This window comes from Homo sapiens, chromosome X (genome assembly GCF_000001405.40).
Source record: "Homo sapiens chromosome X, GRCh38.p14 Primary Assembly".
Taxonomy (NCBI): Eukaryota; Metazoa; Chordata; class Mammalia; order Primates; family Hominidae; genus Homo; species Homo sapiens.
Window position 1 is genome coordinate 148,842,593 of NC_000023.11, and position 18,494 is coordinate 148,861,086.

General features: G+C 37.4%; 1 protein-coding gene across 6 annotated transcripts in view; it reads left to right on the forward strand.

The window, feature by feature from the left end:
* The window catches only part of AFF2 (ALF transcription elongation factor 2), a 500,047-nt gene that overhangs the window by 341,976 nt on the left and 139,577 nt on the right, over nucleotides 1-18,494 (forward strand). For 3 of the 6 annotated variants that reach the window (NM_002025.4, NM_001169122.2, NM_001170628.1), the window contains 2 exons: nucleotides 374-410; nucleotides 790-841. In NM_002025.4, coding sequence (NP_002016.2) covers nucleotides 374-410; nucleotides 790-841 — 89 coding nt within the window. The remainder of the gene's footprint in view (nucleotides 1-373; nucleotides 411-789; nucleotides 842-18,494) is intronic. The other 3 variants (NM_001169124.2, NM_001169123.2, NM_001169125.2) reach the window with 1 other exon arrangement.

Consider the following 18,494-nt stretch of genomic DNA (forward strand, 5'->3'; position numbering starts at 1 on the left):
TTTAGAGGCATCGTTTTCCAGCTAAGTGAGAAATTATACACTTCAATTTCACACATATGGGTCATTTGTTCCCATGTTACACACATTTCCAAATAGATACCAGTCTTACTTATAATTTTGATTAAATGGCAGTTATGATCATGTTGCATAATTTTGATTAAATGGCAGTTATGATCATGTTGCAGCAGGTTTGGCTGGCAAATGTTTATCCTTCAAATAGAGCTATAGACAAAAGCCTAATTAATGGAATTGTTAACAGCAGCTTCCTATTTGCAAACATTAGTCAACTATATCTTCAGCAATAATTAATATACCTCTTACTCTCCTTGTGTCATTTAACTAATGTTTGTGTCATATATATTATTCCTTATAGGAATCGCAGCATCTGACCCCAGGATTCACCTTACAAAGTAAGTGGTTTTGAAAATCCTTCTTAGTCCAAACATCCATGTCCTCTGCTCCCTCATTTTTTCCTTTTTCCTACTTAAAATCATTAAAACATGAAAGAACAACAATAACAAAAAGTTATTTTAATTGTTAATTTTTAGCTCTCAGAAATAAGTGAGAAGATGTAAAGTTTGTCTTTCTGTATCTGGCCTTTTTCACTTAACATAATGACTTCCAGTCCCGTGATATATCTAACTGGTTCCCCCCCTTTTTTTTTTTTAATCTGTTACTTATCTCAAGAAGGTAACTCGGGGGACTGCATGTTTGGAGATCAATTTAATTCAGAATAATCATTTGACAGTAGGAACATGAACAGTAATTGTTTATATCTTTTCTTTTCAGAGTGGAATGACCCAACCACCAGAGCTTCTACAAAGTCAGTGTCTTTCAAATCGTGAGTAGTTGGATCTCCAAATCAGGCCTTTTTGGGGATATTTGGCAAGGAAACAGTGCCTCAATGCTGATCTAATCTTGTTCTCTCCTCTGCTCCTTGAAACTATGAACCTTGACTCATAATAATATGTAGTTTGGTTGGGGTGGGGGGAGAATCAAATTTCCCATTGTCTTAGTCTACTTGGACTGCTATAACAAATACTATAAACAACATGGCTTATAAACAATAGAAATTTACTTCCCATAGTTTTGGAGCCTGAGAAGTTTGAGATCAATGCACCAGCATAAAGGGTATCTTGTGAGGGACCATTTCCTCATAGAAAGCTGTTTTCTTACTCTAATCCCACATGGTAGAAGGGGTGAGGGGTCTCTCTCAGGCCTCCTCTTATAAGGGCAGTAATCCCATTCATGAGGGCTCAACTCTCATGTCATGATCCCCTCCCCAAATACCCATGTCCTAATACTATCACCTTGGGGGTGAGGATTTTAGCATATTAATTTTGGAGTAATACAAACAGATTATAGGACCCATAATAAGTAAATAACAGTAAAAGTTAATGAGATCACCATTAAGTTCTCTAAGTTTGTAAATACAGACCAGGTCAATACCTGGGATACGAAAACAACTGTGATTTCAGTGAAAAAATAAATCTCTAGATGGCTTGTTTCCCACATTTTAACTAGTTCAAACACTGTATAGTATCAGCTAAAGACATTATTTTACACAATATTCAGTCACCACTGACTAGGATGGACGAGGGAATCTAAGCAGCCATGATTGGACATGAAATGTTGAGTGGATTGCTATGGCCAGTCAGCCCAAGACCTCACTATTTGCAGGTCATCAGGCACCTGTATATTAAAGACAAACAAGGGCATCCAGGAAGAGCCGGAATAAGATATTACATGATGGTAGTTTGAAGTTCAGAAGCCAGGGCCCTGCAATTCATTCAGCACTGTCTTCATTTTTTATTAATGCTAACTGAAGGAGGGGTTTGGAGAAACCAATTTCCTCATATTAACTATTGTAGATTTTCTAATATCCATTTGTCCAAGAGAGTATCAAGGGAGTATTATTTCTCTCACAACTTCTTTCATACCTAATAATAGAAAATGGAAGTCGATTTTTTTGTGTAATAGGCACATACTTGGAATTTTTCAAAATGAAATAATTTATGACATTCAAGTGGCCTAATGGCACACTTGAAGTGAATTGCTCACCTTTTGGAAGATCATGAATAATTGCATAAAAAAACTGGGAATGACTCCCAAATAGACTGAGGATTTGAGAAAGTAAGTGGCATTTCTACGTTCTTGGTGCAGTGCAGTAGCAAAGCCCCAAAGCCCTGACCCCATCACTGGTCCATTTATTTGCTTTTCTAGACTGATCTGTGCCTTCTAATTCAAAGTTCAATTTCAACAACCAAGAATTCTCAATTTTAAGAAGCAAGAAAAAACAAGAGAAGGGGATAATAAAACCATAATCCCGATTTAAGGACCGAATTATATGAAAACACAAAAATCAAAATCATCTTTGATGCTGTATGTTTTAGCTTTTCCATTAATCACATTTTGAATTGCCCTCCCCCTTGTTATTCTAGGAAACAATAGATCTAATCCTCCCTGCTTTCACTCCTGCCTCACTTCATCCCCATTAAAAAGTCAATAAGATTCACACACATACACATACACACACACACACACACACACACGCACACTCACATGCATTTAGGAAATCAACACAAGTTTCCAAACTTGAAAAAAATATAAAAATAGATTTTCCTATGTAAAATTATCTTACTCCTAAAGCAAGAGTATTAGGCTCCCACTGTGAAATATGCTGCTTTCCATATATACCATAGAATGCAATGTTTCAGTAGTTTGTAACTAACAGAAATAAACTCGTCAATTGTGGTTTATAGTTAGAGGCTGCATTTCCAGAGAACAGCACTTCGTAGCACAGTAATATATAGTGTAGCCAATACAACTAAAATACTCTATATGAAGCATCAGTAAAACTAGAAGACACTGAGTCCATTTTATGAATGAGCTCCTCTCTTTTTGTCTGTTTGATCTAAAGTCCAAGCACCATCCATCAGATTTTAGCTGCAATAAGTTCCCTTCTTACTGTAGGGTATGGGTTTAACATAGGACAGATCAGAATTGTAATAAAGTTATTTTTATTTTTAGCTTCCAACTTATCGGCTTAGCCATTACTATCATTCTCCCACATTTAACTACAGTGTGCTTTTTAAACCACCTCCTAGGATTTTCCATTTGGCAGGGTAATCCTCCAGGTGATTAAGATTATTCTGAGTGCAGACAGACTGCTAATGCCTGCGCCTTGGTGAGAAGCAGCCCGTAAGTCAGCCGTGATGCAGGAAAGACCCAAGGCCAGAAAGTGTCCCAAGCACACTCCTGACACTTAGTGCAGTAAAGAGAGATTAGAGTCTTGTAAAACAGAATCCCTTAATTACTGGGACACTTCATTACTTTTCCTCATCTTGGCCTGTTTTCCCTAGTTGACAAAATGCAGATCTTCCATTGGAGTATGCATTGTTTATAAGGACTATACACATGGGCACCAGGTCTGAAAACATTGGCCACAGTGTGCCTGAGTATAAACTTGCAACTAGCCAGTCTCCCTCTTTCTTTTTGACAATTACTGCTGTCTCTGAGCCTGACCCCAACAATATGACTGGCTTTTTGGAAAACTGGGTATTTTCCTTCTCAGTATAGTGCATTGGCATACAGTGCTTTTTATCAGTGTCCATTCATGCCATGACATCCTACCTGCTTCAGCTGGAACTCTGAATGCTTATGAGGCAAGAGTACTGAATTGGGGAAGTTTGGAGACCTAGGTTTAATCCCCTCCTTTGTGTCAGTTGTGTTATTGTGGGGGAAAGCACTGACCTAGTATCCAGAAGATATGAGGTTAAATCACAGGAGAATTTATTTTTATTTTAAACTATACAGACAGAGTCTGTTAAAGGGAATTAAACAAATTAATGAGTATATGTGTCTACACATGCAGGTACACCAACAAACACTTGTCAGTGTTCAAATTTAAGCAGTTATACTTTTTAGTAATTAAATCTAGCAACATAAAAATACATTTAACTTTAATCATTAATACTTTCTGGAGGAGAAAAGACCAGAAGTTGGTCTCCCACCCCTCAGCCTCTATGATTCTGTGCTATGTTACAGTCTTGGAACAGGCCCCACCTAGGTCTTCTTAATCAAACGGAGTTTCTAATCTCCCCCAAAAATGTCTCTGTCCCAAAAAAGAGGGTGAAGCGTGGGCATAAGAAGGTGAAATTGTAGTTCTCAGGGCTGTGGAGTTGTATGTTTACACAGTAATATCATGGCTGTCTATTCTGTCTCAAAGAGATCTTTTTATTTCAATGACAGGATTCAGACTGTGAATGGACTCACCAGACATTGTGTTGCTTTGTAGTTTCTCTTTCTTTTTCTTTGTTTTTCCCCAAGATAGAGTCTCGCTCTGTCCCCCAGGCTGGAGTGCAGTGGCAGGATCTCGGCTCACTGCAAGCTCCGCCTCCCGGGTTCACGCCATTCTCCTGCCTCAGCCTCCTGTGTAGCTGGGACTACAGGTGCCCGCCACCTGTAGTTTCTTAATGAAGTTATTAAAGAGCAGTGAGGGAGAAAACAGAAACCAAGGTGAAGAACTTGGATTTTCTTTGTTCAGTTGGATTGATTCATCTAGTGTATTATAAATCTTGCCACTTACCTGTCAGTTCAGTGGCCTTCCCAAATGCATGACCTTGTTGGTCTTTTATGGGACATCATACATAGGAATAGATAAGATGTTATTAAGTTGCCCCGAAAAGGACTTTCAGGCAGGTTCCATGAACTCAAGGGTGTACATCCAGTTAGTTCTTAACTTCAGTTTTGTGAGGACTGTTGAGGAGATGGCAGCTCCAAATATCAAGCTCCTTTGTAAAACTTGGTTGTTAGCATTTGGACTATGTCCAGGTGGAAACCATCCAGACCCCCATTTAACTGAGCAGCTCCTGTGTTTTAAACCATGCTGTCGAGAATGCCTGGATAGTTTCCATAAAATCTTAATATAGCCATAATGTTGGTTTTTTTTAATAAAACCAGTTTGCCAACTTATGGTATTAACTATATGTTTTAAAACATCCAAACTCTAGATCCAGAGAGTTGATGGAAGGTCTTATGGAGACAGATTGGTTGAGGCCAGCCTGAGTTTACATGTGGGTGGTTGTTATGCATGTCACATGAAGACATCCTTGATTGTAGCAATAGTTAGGAAGAGAGGGCACTATACTATCACAGGAATGACAGACACAAATAATAATTATTGTGCTGTTGAGAACAGGTGCCAGGTGCTTTTATGTACATTGCCTTATTAAACTTGCCAGGCATCGTGGAGGTGCTCCAAATTATTCCCATCTTACAGATGAGCAAAGTAAAGCTAGAATAACAGTCCTTCCTCCTGAAGTGTACACAGTCCAGTAGGAAGACAGACTGGCCATGCCCACTTATTTTGAATGGATATTTTGGCTACAAACATACAGAAGAGCCCTCTGAGTCATAATGCTCCTCAGTGAGAAAGTTTGAATGCAGGCTAAGGGCCCTGTGAGTTCAAAGCTGTCTCTCATCCTGCTGAGTTGCCTTTCCTCACGGGATTTGATAAGTTCAGGGATTTAGTATGCCAAAGTTTTCCTTTTGTACCTGGACACAACATTCCCACAACCTGGTGGGATGTAGTCCCACAAGAAATTATACCGCTCTGTTTTCGATGACACAAAACTGGGTCAAAATTGTTTTATGTAATGAAAATGTCATTATTTCTAAAGTTTTCTGTAAGTGCTATGAAAATTTCATTACCAAAGAGAATAGAAAGACTGTGAGGATGTTTTCCAGATTGCTATAACCAATACAGGAATTACATTATTTTTAGATCAATTTTGAAAATATTTTTGCTAAAAAACAATTGATATTCATTACAACCCTGGCCATCCTTTTACCAAAGCCTTCATCACTGGAAATGTTTCCTTCGAGATTTTGATTTGAAATTTAAGAACTGCAATGCATTATTGCAGAGCAATAACCCACTTTCTAGCAATTTCATATATTCTTCCCCATGTAGATGTTTGATCTGCTACTTGGATGCAATTTCGGTAGCAAATTGACTGTGTAATGGGGCAAGGAAGAAATGACTGTTATTTTCTTAATCAGATTAATTCTTAATCAGAATACATGATTTGGTACTTGGAATTTAAAAATACTGCTAATCAGTTTGAGGCTTATAAAAGCCAAACTAACTCTCCTGATAAACTGGTAATCTTGGTAACTTTACTAGTTGCAGACATTTTGGTTTTTAAATCAAGAAGTATACCAACTCTTGCTTTTAACTTGTCTTGTATGCCCTGCATCTCTGAGCTTGCCAAATTTTCCTAAGGACTTAATATATTTTTGGAAGTTCTCCACTGCATCAGGGGCAGCCACCTGGGAGCAGAGAAAACAAAATTTGGCAGCCTGTTCAAGCTGTGAATTAAAGGTAATTCACAGTTTGAAATGAATCAGCGTGTGGTCCTTGAGAAGAGTAATCAGACATCAAGAGGATTTTATGTTGAGGATTGTATATTGGCTAATGTGACAACAAGCAATATTGGCATTTGGAATGTTTGCATCAAGAAGCACTGAAGCTGCCGGGGCTTGATGGGTACCAAGATCTAAAATGGGGGCTCCCTTCAAAGAGAGCTGTAGATTTACATTTCTATCACAAAAGCTGAAAACAGAGATGGGTTGGCTCAGCCATCATAGTTGAAAGATTAGATCTGATTTTTGTGGTGGTGTTCATGGACCTAAGTCTATCATAAGATTTGTGTATCTCAGATGGCTTTTGAGACACCTCTGTAATGGAAAGCAAATGTCTCTCTCTCTCCTCCCCCCCCCCCCCCCCCCCCGCTGACCACCCCTCTCTCTCCTTCTCTCTTTTCTGTCTGGGAAAAGGCAAACATCGCTTCCTTTCTACTAGATTTCATTTTTTTTTTCAACAAATATGCATTCAGTATCTACTACATGTAAGGTTCTGGGCTAAAACACTGGTAACTCAGGGTGAAACACTGCACATCATTGTCTCAAGGAATTCATGGTCTAGTGAAGATAAGACTAGCACCGACAATGCCAGCAACCCAACTAACTCATACTTATTGAGTGCCTACTATGTGCCAGGCACTTCCCATGCACTTTTTCTCCTTACAAGCAATCCCATGGGTTTCATCATCATTATAGTGTACAGAAGTAGAAACCCAGCTCAGAGACATTGAGTGAGTTGCTCAAAGTGGCACAGTAACAAAGAGGGAGGCAGAACAGGACTGACTCCAGAACATATGCTCTTAACTTACACTAAAGCCATCCCATGAGTCATTTGGAGGTGGCTTTACTGATTTGCAGTCAGGTGTGATCTTGCCCAGGCATTAGGCCAAAATGGACTAACCACAATGCAAGCCAAAATGGCAATGCCATTTTGGTTTAAATCAGGGGAAGTATTAGATCTAAATATTATAACTGAGTTAGGTCTTGCATATACTACACATGCTGACATGGACACTGAAGACAGATCTGTCCTCAACTCAGGGCCTGCATCCAGATTGTGTCACCAGGACTCTAGAATATTCCCTTCAGTGAGGCTGAAGGATCTATTCCTGCAAGAGACTTAGACCATCACAAAAATAAAATTCATATAAGATTGATTTTGGTGGCATATCCCTTCAGAAATGTCCATTGTGCCACATTAAAGTGAAGAGAAAACTAATATTTGGGTCTATTTTTATAAGAGACTCATCCATTGCCTTTCATGCTTACCAACTTGTTTGATAATTAGAAAGTGGCTTTATATCCTCATGGTGAAATAATTTTCAAAAATATCCCCATCTGTTATCAACCACAGCGGCATATTTCCAAATTCTTCTCAGCATTTTTAAACAGTAACTGGGAGTGAAGCAAATAATGCTGGTGGAAGGCACTGAAATTGATAAGCAAGGGACCAAAGTTAAAAAAAATTCACTTGTATAATTGAATGTAATGTTGTGATAACACACCCCCACACACACACACATGCATACATATGCTCTGTATCCCAGAACAGTAGGTCACTCTAATGTCTGATCTAATGAGATGCACACATAGACATATGCACACTCTTTTTTCAGTTATTACATTGTAAAGTGCTATGATCAGAGATACTTTTCATGTGCACAGTGAATGATAATTTTAACACACTTTCACACAATACATTAGCCCATGTGAGTGGCACAGCATTCCTGTTAGATAGCCAATTGAAAAGAAACCAGGCGTAGGGAGGGGAAGATATTTTCCTAAAGTCCTCCACCTAGGGAGTGGCAGGGCTGGGACTAGAAGCCAGGATTCTGCATTCTCAGAATATGCTGCCTTGTGCCCAGATTCCCCAGATGGCTGCAGGGCCAGAACTCATCAGAGTCCTGACAAGTCTTCCAGGCCCAGATGAAGAACATATAACAGCAGTGTAGACAAGCTCCATGGATTATGCTTAGAATTTATAAAGAAACAAACAAAATCCAACTGAGACTGGAGTAGAAGAGAAGAAATATCTACTTCTGAACTATTCATTTTGTTTTTCCCTCCTATCAAGCATCTCACAAACAGCCAGATCCTTTACCACAATTAGGTTACTGGGAATGTTAGGTTTAAATAGTCTGCTCTTGACACCTTCTCAGAGTTGCTTAAAGCCCCTCCATTTTACACTGACGAGTAGGGAGCAGTGTTGGTAGAATACTGCAGATGCACACAAAATTACAGCTGTAAAATCAGTTGAAGAATCTGACAAATGCCTTTCTTTGTGGTTCATCCACCCACTTTAACAATGTGGACCAAAAAAGGAAAAGGTCTCAAAGCTATTTGATTGACATCTACAAATATGCTGCCAAGACTGGAACAGAGTAGGTGGGATGGAGTAGATGGGGTTGGGGTAGGTCTTCTGAAAACCAAAAGAATAAAATTTATTTTCTTTGCTACCCTGTGGTTTTTTGACACTGAAGATCTACAGTACAACCCCATAGTATACTGCCTTGTCCTTGCCAAAGGTTCTAGGGTCCCTGAGAGAGCAATAAGTGAGAGAAAAGTATCCAGAGAAGAGTAGAAGCTAACGATTTAGCAACCTATAACTCTGACAGCTCCATTGCCTAATTTCTGGAGTTACTTGTTTTGGCATAAGAAGCCCACTTTATAAAAATTCCAGATGGAGATTTCAATTTTGTAACTACATAGAATATTTCTTCTTTTTTTCTTTTTTTTTAACTTTTATTTTAGGTTTGGGGGTGCATGTGACACGGGGGTTTGTTATACATATTGTTTCATCAACAAGTTATAAAGCCCAGTACTCAATAGTTATCTTTTCTGCTCCCCTCCCTCCTCACACCCTCTCCTCTCAAGTAGACCCCAGTATCTGCTGCTTGATTCTGTGTGTTCATAAGTTGTTAACATTTAGCTTCCACCTGTAAGTGAGAACATGCAGTATTTGGTTTTCTGTTCCTGTGCTAGTTTGCTAAGGATAATAGCCTCCAGCTCCATCCATGTTTCTGCAGAAGACATGATGTCCTTCTTTTATATGGCTGCATAGCATTCCATGGGATATATGTGCCACATTTTCTTTATACAATCTGTCTTTGATGGGCATTTAGGTTGATTCCATGACTTTGGTATTGTGAATAGTGCTGCAATGAACATACGTGTGCGTGTGTCTTTATGGTACAATGATTTATATTCCTCTGGGTATATAACCAGTAATGAGATTGCTAGGTCGAATGGTAGTTCTGCTTTTAGTTCTTTGAGGAATCACCATACTGCTTTCCACAATGGTTGAACTAATTTACACTCCCACCAGCAGTGTGTAAGTGTTCCCTTTTCTCCATAACCTCACCAGCAGCTGGTTTTTTTTTTTTTTTTTTTTACTTTTAAATAATAGCCATTCTAACTGGTGTGAGTACATAGAATATTTTTCTATTTTTCAAAAGAAAAATCTTTTAAAGTACCTATTCCTCATAATATATGGAAATTGTCTAGGCCATCTAAAAATTGAAAGGGTCATTCTAGGTTTCTCCAAAATAATTTTTGTATATCACATGGTACAGAAAGAAACGAAGAAAACAATCTGGATGTGAGCAGTATTCTTGGGTAATTGCAACCACCACTTTTGGAACCTACTATATACCTGGCACCATGAAATATTTTATAAGCATCAGCTATTTCATGCTCACAGCAACCTCGTGAGATAGATTTCGCTATCTCCATCGCCATCGTCACCACTATCATCGCTCCCAGGATTGTACTCTCAAGGGCTCAGAGAGAATGCCAAACACCTGTGGCTGCACAGCCAATGCTGGTAGTCATATTTGAAGTCAGGCCTGCTTGGTGCTCTTTCCACTGTGCAATTTCACTGGTTCACTTGTTTAATCACCTTCTAGGCTCATAATGTCTCTGAGAGGTTGATAAGATTAAACTGATTTTATGGAGAAGGAAATTTCGTCCCAGAACAGTTAAATGACTTGCTCAAGATCACACAGCTAGTTGTTGAGGGAGATGAAATTTCACTCCAGGATTCTTGGATTACAAAATTCAAACCTTTTTTAATACCCTGTTTGCCTCACCCACATAAAGTTTCAACTGAAATCTTATTAATTGTTAAATACGAAGGAAAAATAACAAAATAATCTTAATAATACTACTTTCTAGTTCTTTGGCATTATGTGTTTTCTACACATATTGTTATATAACACATAATATATATTGTTATATTGTTAAATCTTTTAGATTTGGTCTTCACTCAATTTCTGGAGCAAGGAGACAGGGGAGGGAGCCATTATTGTCCTAGAGAGGTCACAGATGTGGGGCATCCATTTCTGAGTGGCTTAAGTTCCAGCGCTCTCACTCCCCTGTCATGTGACTTGATGAATTTATTTGGTGCTTTTCTGAGCCTTTGTTTCTTCATATAATAAAACAGAGATGATATATTACTCAGACTCTGTAGCGAATTGTGTTGTCAACAGATGAGCTCATGAATGAGCTTTGCAGTCACCTGCTCTCATTGGTTCTCTTTCCATGTTAGAAGTGAGGAAAGTCATGCCCAGGTGACCTAAGTGAGGCGTCCCAGCTCACACAGGTAATAGTGTTGCCAAAGCTCAGTCCTGTTTCTTGACTCCTAGTTGAGTGCTATTTTTGCTAATCTTGGCCATTATTTTTCAAAAGTGTTCTGTCAATGCAGTTTAAATCAAAAGATCAACTGCCAATGCTGTCAGAGAGCGATAGACTTAAAATCAATAACTATGTGTGCCACTCCTCTCCTAATTAGATATCCCCAGCATGTTTCTGGATGTTTCATGCTGCTGAGAAGAGTGACGGCATTTTTCCACTCAATTATACCCAAGGAAACATTGTTCAATTTAGTAATAGTTTTAGCACTTGTAGAAGAATTTGAAAACTTTAGAAAAATCTCATACGTTTTACAATCTCACTGTCTTAGAGAATGGGATTTGGGACTAGGTCTACCCTTTATCTTCATGCTTTTATGCAGCGCTTTAAAATTTTGATATTGAAGAGGGCCTGAAACTGGGTGACCTGTGTTGCCCTTTACTACTGGATTAAAATTTCAGGTTGCTACTATGGTAACCGTACCTTGAAAATTAGATCCTGACAGAGTCACTAAGAAATGTAAAAGTGCACTGCTGCCATGAACTTTGAAGAAAGGTTGCATACAATTGTCAGCGACAGCCTCTTAATTGAAATAATCTGCCTTTCCCATCTGCTAGAAAGAGTTTGTGTGTCTTGGGGAGGAGGGACAAAAAGATTATATCTTGATGGATTTTTAACACAAAAATGGCTGTAGTTCGAAGCAGAGCTGTTTTCTGCATGAGATTTAAATCAACTTCAGCTCAATTTATGCTATTCAGAAAGAAATGTGATACTCAGTATTCACGGTGGCAAGAAGCCAAGATACACAGTAAAGATGTAACGATACTAAGAGAAGATACTGCTGGGGATCTATCCCAGAAAAACCCCAGTGGCCCCAGGGTCCAAATGGCAACCTTTTTCAAACCACAGATTTCTGTGCCCAGGCTTCTGGGAAGTTGGGGAATGCAGAGCAGCCGCATGACAGACTTTCAGATCAAGAGGGCCAGCAGTCACTGATTTGCTTAGTGGCATAAAAGCTGAGATCATATTGATGCTCCCAGAGCCAGGGAAATGAAACAAGCAACATAGGGTCTCTTGGCTTTCAGGAACATGAGGGTGAGTGGCACTTGCAATTTCAGGAATTCCTTTGTGCATGTCTTTCCCAAGGCAAGCACATCACGGTGTGTCTGGCTTTATAATTAGTTGTGGCTGTATCTGTGTTTCCATAACAGGACTTTTGTTGTTGTTGTTATTGGGCCTTTTTCTTTTCTTTATTTTTTTCGACATTCTTATAAAAGGATTTTGATTTGTGCTTCTAATGCCACACATAGAAAATGACTCTTTAACTCTCTGAAGGTCTCAAAAATTTCAGACCAAAAGTGATGTTCTCACTCTGAGAATGTTGGTATACTATTTTGCACAAAACAGATATCAAATATTAAATCTGTTGGACAATATCAAGTAGTTGGGACTGAGGGATGTGGAGCCATAGGAATTCTCACCACCTAGTGGTGGGACAGTACCTTGAGGGGTAGTTCTATCTAAAGACTTTGGGTAGAATCGCCTCTCACCTCATTTGCGAGTCTCTTCATTTTGGTTTGGTCAGCGTGGGTACTAAGGAGACTGTGATAGTGACGACTGAATTGTGATATACTTCCAAACCCAAGCAATGCCCATGAAAGCCCAACAAAGACATATCACCAGTCTTCTACCTGTGAGGACTGTGGAACCACAGGTAGCAGGATGTTTGACTCTCCTGAACATAATAGTTTCACAAATCTATTTACCTGAGTGGAAGGGGTGGTATCCACTCCCCTATTTCTTCAGCAGCCGGTACAGGAAGAACCTACTACACAACAGATAACCAGAAAATATTCTTGAGTGTAAAGTGAAAGAATGATCCAGAAGGTGTCACTTGCTCTGAAGTAACTTTTTTTTAAATATTGTATTCTTATATTTGTTAATCCATATTTTAAAAGTAGTATCGTAAGAAGAAATATAAATGCATGCATGTGTGCATATGTGTGCTCATATGTATGTGGCTGGAAAGCAAATACAATGCAGAACTTGAAGTGGACAGGCTCTGTGCTGGAATGGCTGGGTTCAAATCCCAGCTCCACCATCTTTTAGCCATGTGATCTTGGTCAAGTTACTTAACCTCTCTATCACTCAGTTTCCTCATCTGTAAAATGGTGAGTAGTAATAGCACCTACATGATACGATTAAATGATTGAAGTGCTTATCACAGTGCCTGGTACGTAGGAATTTTTTGATAAACACTTTTATTAATCATGTTCATGATTATTGCGGTCATGATCACTGAGTCTTTTGAGTGAGTGCTGTTTGTACTACATTCCAATCTTCAGTCACTTGGGAAGCCTTTCACTCTCTTCCCTGACTTGTCCCAGAGGTCTCCAGTTGGAGAAAGACCTCTCCAGAAAGAGCAAACCTGGACTACATTGAACATTTCCTTGGCTCACCTGCCTACCCCAGTCCCAGAGGATAAAAACAAAGAATGGCTAGAACGTCTTAAATGTATAGATATTTGGTACTAGGCACAGTCTTCTCGTTCTTGGAGCTCAACACAGCATCTTATCCCAGTCACAATTGTACTCTTAGTTTGTAGTTATTTCTAAAAATAAAAGCTAGGACTTATTAAGTGCCAAGCACTATGCTGAGTGTTTTATATCCACTAGCTAATTGACTATTTACAACCCAGTGAGATGTAGGCACTACCGTTACCCACATTTTACAAATGAAGAACTGGGTTTCATGACTTGAAGCTAAATTTTTATAGCCAGTAATGATGGATTCATTACTTGAACTTATGTCTGGTTGACTCCAGTAAGAGACCCCTTAACCCTGGCCCTCCTGCCTACCCATGGACTCTCCAATCTCAGAGTCCACCTGGACTTGATTGTCTTGGGAAATGGCACCACCTCCTCAGAGGTAGTGGAGCAAATACAAGAATACAAGAGGGAGAAAACAATGGAGGACAGGAATTTGGCCAGAGATATTCTCTGCTCCTGAGTCCCAAAACATCCTCTCACATTTTGTAAAATCACCACTGGTATAATTTGCTGAGTCATAATTTTTAATTCTGTGGTTCACATATATATGAAAAACTGCTTTTGAAATATATAACAAGCATGTTGTCAATTTTCTAATCAGGTGGAACAAATTCTTTTCTTTATTCCCAGTTTTTGCATGCATAAAGGAAGTCGTCTGAATAAGAAAACATGTCAATAAAATTTCATGGAATAGCCTCTGCCATTCTGTGAAATAAACATTCCATTCCCTTGCCTGGGCAAATTGTTCCTGTTGCTGCATATCTACTTCTGTTTCCTTGGTCTAAAAAGACACTTCAGACTCTGCCTTTAATTACGATAAGGCTTGACTATTAACCCTTGAGAATTAACCTTATTTTTGCTAGGAGGGAAGGTAAAATAACATTTAAATTGGTTTTAAGAGTAGGAATGGAATCTCAGAAGACACACTAATGTAGAATACACTGTATATCAAAATATATAAGTGCATAGTTGTAACAGTGGCTTAGTAAACATATTGCTGAGTGAACTATGAAAAATAATTCACCAAGGTACTGTTTCCCATACTCGTAAGCACTAAGTTAAGAGAGTAATGCCATAAAGTACATATGCACTGTTTAAAAATATTTGTGTGTTTTTTAAAGAATACTTTCTTCAGGCCCAATAGACGAATCATTTTTTCTTCCCTTGCTAAAATGTACACTGTAAGGAATTTAACTAAGTGGTATATTAAGTGAGGGTCTAAAATAGTTGTAGAAGATAACAATTCTGAGCAAAGAAATGTCTTTAGCAATTTGATTCTGAATGCAACATAAATTAACTTTATAAAATAGAATTAAAAGAAGTTCAGTTATAGCTTTCCAATTTTTCATATAATTTAGCATTTCATACTCATTGTGTTTGCTACTGGCACTTTTATTATAAAAGCCTGAAACTGCAGGTCAAATGAGTACTTATGTGGATATAAATACACTGATTTTTGTTTTTCAGAGAGAGATCTTTCTCTGAACAACATGATTTATCCAAGTTAAGAGACTACCTCTGTGGAAGAGCAACTCTCTTGAAAACCAAACTTCACATAAGTTTTATGCAAAACTCCTAGAAACCTGTTCAAAAATTATAGAATAATAGGAGGTGTTCCTAAGCTTTCAACCCTCCAATGCTCTTGCTTAAATTTTAGATCTCAACTAAAGTAACTTGACTTTTCAAATTATGTTTCAATTCAGGTTTGTTGTCTTTTAATTCCATATTAAAAAGTTTGATGAGATTAGGATGAGAAGAGAGGGGAGATGATAAGGCAGTTCATTATGCACATCAAAGCATTTCAAAACATATCTGGTTTAAAGCCATTAAATAATTTCCCAAATTTGAACCTGTGGTATAAAACTCTTTTTTTAGTCTAATTCCAATAACGTAAATGGGATACATGAGGAAAGATTTCAAAGCAACGTTTCTTATAAATAGAATTTCAATAGCTTCTCCTTTTAAAAGGAAAGCAAGGGGTAAAGTGGATGAATCATGTCAGTCTCCCATAATGAGAAAACAGAGAAAATGCACATTCACATGCCCACCCTATTATGGTGTAGTTTGGCTGCATGATGGTTATTACTGAATGATTATAATACACAATTTTACATGGGAGATAAAAAGAAAATCATATATAGATGTTTTCCCACTTGAAGCAAACCTCTCACAGAAATTCTAGCATATATTTCCATACAGATAAAAAGGTAGTTTTTCACCCTTAAAAAGAATCCTTCACTTTGAAAATGATTCACCATAGTTTCCCTCTAAATAGTAAGCTCATCTCATGCATTTACAATATGGTTTGATTTTCAAAACATCAATTTACATGCACTTTCCAGTAACAAATCTATTGTGCCATGTGATGCTTACTTGTATAGGATAAAAAAGCAAAAGTATTTTTTCTAATTAATACACAATATTATAATGTACAACATACAAATATCAATTCGTTTTGTTCAAACTAATAATAAGTACTTGGAAATGGAGATGCAAGAAAACCCCACTTCATTCACAACAGTTATATGGATTTACATTAAAAAACTATAAAATAACACCGAAGTACATAAACAAGGTTTGAAAGAACTAGAAAGGTATATATGTTCTCATAGCAGAAGTGTTATAGTGTTATTTCTCCCAAAATTAATTTATAATGCAATTCCAATTAGAATTCCTCAAAATGATTCTTTTTGGCATGAGACAAATTATTGTATAGTTCATATACTAAAAGGGTAAATGCTCAACCATAGTAAATGAAAAGAAAGAACAGTAGGAAAGATTTTCATTACTAGATATATGAAAAAACTACAATACGCTTTAACAAAATCAATACATTATTAGCATGAAAATAGATACTAGATCAACAGAAGAGACAATTCAATCTCTCTCCCTATATATGTATGTAATATGTAACAACAGCATTACATTGATTCAAAGAGAAAAAAATTGATATGTAATGATGATACTGGCACTACTAGATCTCCATTTAGAAGAAAACAAAGGTAGTTTCCTATCACATTTAAATATATTAAAGTAGGAAGAGAATGAGAAAAAATAACTAATGGTTACTGGGCTTAATATCTGGATGATTAAATAATCTGTACAATAAACCCCCATGACAGGAGTTTACCTACGTAACAAACCTGCACTTGTACCCCTGAAATTAAAATAAAAGTTAAAAAAGATACAAATATAAAATATAAAACAACAACAATGAAAATACCTTTAGTAAAAATGCTTGGAACTCTGTTTCTACAATCTAGGGGAGAGGGTCCTTCTTAATTAAGTCAGAAATCCAGAAGTTCTAAAAGATGAATAACTATAAACAACTGAAATATAACATTTGTATTGAAAAAGATGCCATGTTTCTATAAACAAATGGAATTTTCCTACATACAATGAAATGAAAGTTTGTATGAATAAAAATTAAGTTTTTATGAAGAATAAAATAAAAACAGAAAAACAAATGTAGACAAATATTTGTTTAAAAATTATTAAAATGTATAATTAAAAATTAAAATATTTAATTAAAAATTAAAAACACTATATAGCACATCTGACATGCCAAGCAGTATTCTAAGCTCTTTACCTGTTTTATGTCGTTTATTCTTTTTTAATTAATTGATTTATTTTTTTATTATACTCTAAGTTCTAGGGTACATGTGCACAATGTGCAGGTTTGATGCATAGGTATACATGTGCCATGTTGGTTTGCTGCACCCATCAGCTCATCATTTACAGTAGGTATTTCTCCTAATGCTATCCCATGCACTTTCCAGTAACAAATCTATGGTGCCAAGTGATGCTTACTTGTATAGGATAAAAAAGGAGAAGTATTTTTTTAAAAAATTTGAGTCGATAGTTTATAGTTTGCTTGTCTTTAATATTAACTATTTATAGTCCAGCAGATTTTGCTAACACAAGTTGAGATGGAGATGCCACTGGCTGCCTAAAAGCTAATTCTGTAAAGCTCATTCTTGATTATCAAAATGCCGTATTTCAGCAGCAGCCGATCAAATACGGCCTTGTTCTTGTTCTCATGGGAATCTAATCCTTGAGTCCCTTCTTTCCCCTTAAATTTGTCTGGTTCACAGACACATTCCATGAGCTGAAAATCTAACAATAAATTGAGAAAATTAGATCAGTTTGCATAACATTTGAAAAGGAATGTAGCCTTTGTTTGCACAGCCAAGGTAAAATGGACAGATCAGTAACTGGAAGTGTGGTGTAGCACCTCACAGAACATGAATTCTCTAAAGAACCCTGGCAACCCATGTGAAAATGTTACGTGGAATCATCATTTTGAATAGAGCAAAATGACGCTGGAAAAGAGCTAGGGCTGAGCTGTGCAGCGTCATTTGAGATCTGTGCATCCAGAAACTATAAGCACATCTTGAATACAGAAGACGCACCTCCCTGCTTTCACGGTAATATTTTAAATAGTGTGCTGGCTGGCTTTGCTTTTTAAAACAAATGTGTTTAATCTTTGTTAGGGTGAGGGTGAAACCACACAAGAACATTTACAGCAATATGTAAATTGACATTATATGGCTTTTCTACTCTCCTAAGAAACTTTATTAGGGGAAGTCACTTTTTTTCTGCATAGAAATAGCAGCCCCTAAAATATATCTAAGCAGTTAAGGCTTCACCCCAACAGCTTGAGTAAACACATTTTTTTAACTTTCCCATGGACTTCAACTTTGAAGGTTTTACATAAGGTAATTCTGAAGTGGTTGTACAGAGTTAATCCTGGGTCTTTTATTTATAAAGCATTAATTTCAGACTTTTTAAAAAATGTAATTTTCTCAGATAATGTCTGAGAACAAATTGAGCTTCTAAGATTTAAAAAGAAAAGATCCAATTGTGTTTATTTGTGGCCACCAAGCAGGT